Source organism: Homo sapiens, chromosome 17, assembly GCF_000001405.40.
Source record: "Homo sapiens chromosome 17, GRCh38.p14 Primary Assembly".
Lineage (NCBI taxonomy): Eukaryota > Metazoa > Chordata > Mammalia > Primates > Hominidae > Homo > Homo sapiens.
The window spans coordinates 81,463,325-81,469,662 of record NC_000017.11 but is presented as its reverse complement, the minus strand read 5'-3'; the positions used below and the strand labels follow the sequence as shown (position 1 = coordinate 81,469,662).

The window sequence follows — 6,338 nt, the reverse complement described above, 5'->3', positions numbered from 1 at the left end:
CAAGGGAAAGGGGCTGAGACCCCCATGCTGACTGGGCTCTGCCTGTGCATCCATCCAGAAATCCCTTGGGCCACCTGTGAGCCTCATCCTGGTCTTATAGGTGGGGAAAGAGACTCAAGGTCTGTATTTCACAGACACGGACACTGAGGTCCGAGCCACTGCAAAGTCAGGCTGCACCTGCAGGCCTGGCCCCGGGGCCGCACCTCTACCCCACTGACCCGTTGCCCGGCCCAGCTCCCCACCTGAGGCAGGGGCAGGCCTGGTCCCCCTGGCAGCTGTGCTGTGGTCCCAGGTGGGCACTGAGTGGTGGTTGGGCCTTGAACAACCCACCCGCCCGTCCGTGGGAAGCTCGCTCCCCTAGACGCGTCCTCGTCACCATTATGGCTCCAGGTAGCCTAAGGCGGGTTACAGAGGCTGCACCGATAGGGAGGGCACGGGAAGCTCAAGGCTGGGTCCTCTGGCTCTTAAAGGAGGGAGGTGCTGGCTTCTCACTGGGACTTCTGGGGAGCGGGAAAGGGTGGCTGTTGGGGGGAGAGTGGAGGCCGAGGGGCCCAGGTTCCTGGTAGGGGCTTGGCGGGAGATGGGGCCGTTCAGAGTTATTCCCCTGGGGTGCTGCCTCTGCTTGTTTTCTTAGCCCGCACCCAGGGGCCAGAGGCGGTTCCCTCCTCACCCTGCCTGGTACAGACTCAGGAGACCATTGAGGGGCCCACCCAGCATGGGCGTCCGGCCAGCTCCAGTGCCCGGTGACCCCGCGGCGGCTGAGCGGTGCGGCTGCCTCTCCCCCACTCCCCGCCAACCCCCAGCAACCTCGCCAGGCCGGGGATGAACAATTAAAGCCCCCTGGTCCCCAGTTGGTTTGTGGTATTAAAAACGAATTGCGATCAGCCAGGTTGTCATTTCTACCTGATAAAACATCACTTTTATTGATCTCACTCACCCAGCGCCAGCATTCATCTTGCTCCAGCATTTCACATAATGGCCCGTTTGTCTTGATCAAAGTGTAGTCTTGCATGTTTAACCCTTGGGGCTCCGCAGCTGTGCATGCCCAGCCCCACTGACTGTCCTTCCCACAACGCCCTGCCCTTTGCCCAGGGCCTGTTCTGGGGGCAGGCAGTTCTGGAAGGCAAGGATGGCCCTGTCTGAGATAAGGTGGGAGGACGAGGGGCAGAGAGGTGATGGAGGGGGAGAGTAGGACGGCGGTGTTGCGGGGCCAGAGCCAGGCGTGAGTCCTGCCCTTAGATTCAGCAGTGTGCCCTGCAGGGCTCCTGGGGAGGTCAGACCCTCGAGGTCGGGGGCCCACCTAAGCCTGCCGTCAACCCCACTCGCTAAGCCCGGGTCACCTGCCTCCTGGGCTCACTGGTGGCACCCCCTTCAGCCAGGCCCCCTCCCCTCTGGCCGTTTCCGGCCCTCAGCCCCACCTGGACCCCTAGTCCGGCCCTGTGCCACCCTTAAAGCCTTTCTCTTGGTGCCAGCCCCTCCCCCCAGGTACCTGTGCCGGCCTGGGCCCTCAGGTGTCTAGTTGACCTGGCCCCTCTAACCCTGACCCCCAGGTGCCTGGCTGGCCTGGGACCTTCAACCCTGACTCCCAGGCTGCAGAACCAGTGCCTCAATTTGACTGCAGACTCTGCTTAGAGCCCTTGGGGCACCCATTGTCAGAGAGAGAAGACAGGCTCCATGCTGCTCTCAGGGGCTTGAGATTTGGCCTCTGTCACCCTCTAGCTCTAACATCAATCCCCTACCTCCCCCCGCCCCCATTAACCACCTGCTGGCCACCCCAGCTGTTCCTTGACTACCCTCTGTCTGCCCTGCCCTGCCCTGGGCTTTTCCAAGACAGCCCAGGTGTTACTTCTTCCAGGGAGCCCACCTGGACCACCCCAGGGACAGTCAGTTCTTTGTCTGCTTTGCCAGGTGCGGAAGTCCCCGCTGATCCTGCTGCCACATGCAGCGGGGGGCGGGGAGCCACAGTGCTGCCCCACCAGGCCTGGCTCAGCCCCGATACCACACTTTTGGCTGAGATGGGGGTGGCCGACCTTGGGGTTCCACGGGTGAGGTTATCTCAGCTGCGTGGCCCCGGGTGCAGCTGCTGGGCCCCACTGTTCTGGTCTCTCCCATCTGCCTGTCATGAAGGTGGGGCCGTGGGCCGCTCACTTCCACTGTGGCTCACTGCTTGGTACACTGCTGGCACCAGGCAGTGCTGGGTGAATGGAGGATTTGAACCTGAGACCTGCTGGCAGAGGTTTCCTGTGGGCTTCCCAGGCAGGTGTCACCTCTCCGGCCTGGGCCTCATCCGGCTCTCTTGCCCCAGAGTCCCTGTCGGCTGCCTGTGGCCTCTCCGTGCGACCTGCTCCGTCAGGCAAGCTCCTGGAGTGGGCAGGAGGCGGCAGCAAGTCCTGGCTCAGGGCTCCAGGAACCGGGGCAACAGCCGCAGGCCTTCCTCCCTGTTCCGGGCTGGATTCTGCCCGAAAAAAGTCACTGAGATCACTGAAGTCAGGGTCTCCTGAGCCCACAGGGAGTGTCTGGCCTCACCCGTCTTTCCTTTCTTGCCACAGAGGACCCCTGACCCAGAAACCTGGTCCAGCAGCCCCCTTACTCAGCGCTCGGCCCGGCCAGGGCCTCATCTGCTCCCTGCCCTCACAGCAGCCTGAGGCACGGCCGGTCCCTGAGCACCTCTCTCCGCACTCACCGGCCCAGGAAGGCACTGCTGACTCAGGGACTCCGTCCTCCAAGGACCATGTTTCCTGGCCTTGGACGCAGCTGTGACCAGGCACTCAGGGCCCACTGGGACAGATGTGCACCGACTTCATGCAGCTTCCCAAGATCCCGGCGGCAGAGGGGGAACAAGGAGGGTCCCCTACCCCCTGCAAGCATCCGGCTTCCTCTGGGTCTGCAGCCTCATGAACAGGGCTCTCTCCAGCTGGGGGTGCACTCATCTGTGTTCCCACACCCGGGCCGTGGGCCGCCCCTCCCAGGATGGTCATTCACGTCTGAGACCCTGCCCAGCGTGGCGGCTCGGAGACTGCTCTTGCCCTTCGTCCTCTCCAGTGGAACCTACTCTGGCCCTGGACTGGTTCAGGCTGGACAGGGACTGTGAGAGCAACCAGGAAAGGGGCCCTCCTCCTGGAGGGACCCCACCCCTAAGACCACTCTGAGCCCATTCCGGTCACATGACCCTTTCCTGGCCTGAGGGGCTTCACTTGGGCCAACACAGGGGGCGGTGGGGAGGCCTGGCCCAGAAGCCCCAGCTCTGGGAACGAGAGGCTTCTGCTGAGCCCCCGGAGCCCTGGGGAACCCCCAGGAGTACCGTGGGACACAGGACCCTGGACCACCGAAAACCTGTACAATAGTCCATATATTTATTCTTAAGCAAGTTATCAATAAAAAATTTGATACTAAAATGCCTTTACATAGAGTCTGCTGTTCATAAAACCTTTGTGTGTTTTTTTGTCCATTTTGTTTTTAGTGTTTACATTGAAAAAAAATCCAACCATCCCCTTAGTTTACACATTTACAGGAATCGTGCCTTCGTCACGTTAACCACGGTGAGAGGGGAGGGGCCGCACCATTCGCACGCACACAGAAAAAGAAAGGAAAAAACCAGGGACAAAGCGGAACCCAGCAGAAGCGGGACGAGGACGAGGCGGCGGAGCAGAGGATCCAACCTCCGTGGCTGCACCCTCCTCGGCCCTCTCTGGAACTCCAGTGGCTCAGCATGCCCCCGTGCATTTTTCTTCACTTGACATCGTTCTGATCCCCGAGCCTCAAGCAGGACCTCGTCCAACCACCTCCCCAGACAACCACCGGGAATGAAATATTGCACTCATGCGAGACAAAGGGTAGGCTCGGGGGTGGGAGCGGGGGGCTGGAGGCGGGGACCCCCGACCACAACATAAGCCCCCAGCCTTGAGCCTCCTGGGGAGCCTCTGGGAACGGCCCTTCAGGGGGTCCAGCCAGCAGGTGAGAAACAGGCCCCAATGGGCCCGAGAAAAATAGGGGGCCAAGGGGACCTGGGATTGGGGTACAGGGCACCCACCAGCACCCTGCTTCGAGGCCTGTGGTGTGGGGGACACAGAGCTCGTCCTAGAGCAGTGGCTAACTTGGGGGGCTTTCCTGAAGCTCCCGTGGGGCCAGGGGAACCTTAGTGTGGGAGGATATAAGGAGTGTGTGGCCCCCCATGCGTTTCTGAGGCTGAAGGCTGTTGGGCTCAGGTCCAGGCAGCCTGTCTGTCCTTGGCTGTGGGAGAAGGGGAGGGGTGTGAATTCCCTGGGGATACTGGGGCAGAGCCCTCGAGGGGTGCTGCTTGCACCTGGGGCCAGGATTTGGGCTCAGGTGGTCAGGGGGACCCTCATTCTATGCCCCAAGCACTAGCCCATCAGGCCATCTGCCCCACCAAGTGGCACAGAAAAGGCCGAGAAACCTCCAAAGGGGTTGGGGCAGGCAGAGGGGTCCGAGGGCCAGGCAGATTTGGCTGGTGGAAAAGGGGGCCCAGAAAGGGGCCTTCCCCAAGGGCAGGGCCTGCGTTTTATTTTCTTCTCCCCTGGCCACAGCACTGCTGGCCTGGCCTCACCACCATCTACGCAGCAGGCCAGGGGTTTGGGGGCACCAATAAGGTGGGTGGGAAAAGGGGTGTCTTTTGCATGCATTCTGCTTGGGGGTGAGGAGAGAATCTGGTGGGACTGTGAACCTGCCCTCATAGGCCCCGAGCCCTGCCCAGTTCAGGAACCTGGCCAAACTGCCCCTTCTCACGGCACCTACTACTTTCAGGAAAGTTAGGACCCCAGGGGTGAGGAGGGGCTCAGAGCTGGGCCCTGCTTCCCGAGTGTGCCAGGGCGGCGAGGGTGAGGGGGGCGAGGGGCCAGCCCCTCCCTGCTCTGGGTGGAGGCCAGACTCCTTGGCCTCAGACCAACTGGCCCCGGAAACAGAAATCAGATATAGGTTGGAATATGATTCAGCAGATACAATCCAAACATTGCTTTTTCTTATCAATACTTTAAAATATTTGTTCGTCTTTGTCTTGTTTTGAACACAGGTGAGATGCTCACGGCTGTTGTCACACTCCCTGGTCTGGGCTTTGCCTCTTGAATCCTTTCCCCACGGGCCCCTCATCACCACCCCCTGCTCCAACACTTCTTTTCTAGGAGATGCACTGAAAGCAAATAAACTTGACCGACTTTCATCTTACACGGTCGTCCCCCCAAGAGATCAGAGGGTGCCGTCAAGGGTCCCACCTGACCCTCCCGTGGCCTCTGCCCCCTGCCCCGAGATGCCTCTGTCGTCCCAGGTGCCCCCGTTGGAACCCAGCTGGGCTGAGAACAGTGCATTTCCAAAGGAAACCCCAGGACAAAAATCGCCACACACGCGCACACACATACACGCTCACACACACCTTGTCACGCGGATGGGGAAAAACCCTTTTCCACTTTTTACCATAAAATTTCCCCGCAGAAATACAATATTTACATAGAGAAATAAATAGACAACACACCTGATTTCTGCTTTCCCTGGTGGGAGACAGTCGGAGGTACTAGGGAATATGGCTTGGATTCAAATCTCCCGTGAACTGCCGGTGCGGGAAACGGAGGGCGCTGTGGGTGGGGCGGGCCGGGGACCCATGAGGGCCACAGCCCGACCCTCCGCAGAGGATGGGACGGGACTGGATTCCGACACCTGGAGCGCTCTTTCCAGGGAAAACCGTAAGAAAGCCTGGGTCTTGCCCTGTGGGCTTTTGCATATTTGCTCAGATGCGCCCTTGGGAGGCCGGGGCTGCCTCCTGCCCGGTGGCTTGGCCGACGCCAGGCTCCGCACACAGGGTCCCTGGCGCACGTGGGAGGCATCTGCGGTGGGCGGCTCAGCATAGGATGGGCACGCCATCAGCCGTCACCAGGCGCCCGGTGGTGGGGTCGTAGGTGCCCGCCAGGTAGTAGAGGTCCTGCCGGTCCTGGCACTTGCGGCTCCGGGCCATCTGCTCATACTGCTCGCGCGCCACGACCTGGCACTTGTGGGAGATGGTCTGCACGTCGTTCTCATCCTCGTGGCAGGACTGGTACAGCGCATTCTGGGGGCAAGGCGCGCGGGGCATCAGTGGCCGGCCTTGGCCAGTGCGCCCCTGCCCAGCCAGGAAAGACCACCCGCCCACCCATGCTCTGTAAGGGTCACCGGATGGACTTCTGTGTGGCCGGAAGACGGGGCCGAGGAACCTGCCAGGGACCAGGTCCAGGCAGCCCTGTCTGTCCAGAGGCCGAGGAACCTGCCGGGGACCCTCTGGGGGCTGTCGGAGTCAGAGAAATACTAATTTCCCTGAAAGATGGACGTGTCATATGGTCTGGAAAATGGCTTCTTCT

The 6,338-nt window shown here is 61.0% G+C and overlaps 1 protein-coding gene across 5 annotated transcripts in view; it reads right to left on the bottom strand.

Annotated features, from left to right (window-relative positions):
• Window positions 1–3,331: 3,331 nt before the first annotated feature.
• BAHCC1 (BAH domain and coiled-coil containing 1) overlaps window positions 3,332–6,338 on the bottom strand; it is a 70,875-nt gene continuing 67,868 nt past the window's right edge. For all 5 annotated transcript variants that reach the window (NM_001291324.3, XM_047436467.1, XM_011525063.3 and 2 more), the window contains one exon: window positions 3,332–6,052. In NM_001291324.3, coding sequence (NP_001278253.1) covers window positions 5,846–6,052 — 207 coding nt within the window. In that variant the 3' untranslated portion in view covers window positions 3,332–5,845. The remainder of the gene's footprint in view (window positions 6,053–6,338) is intronic.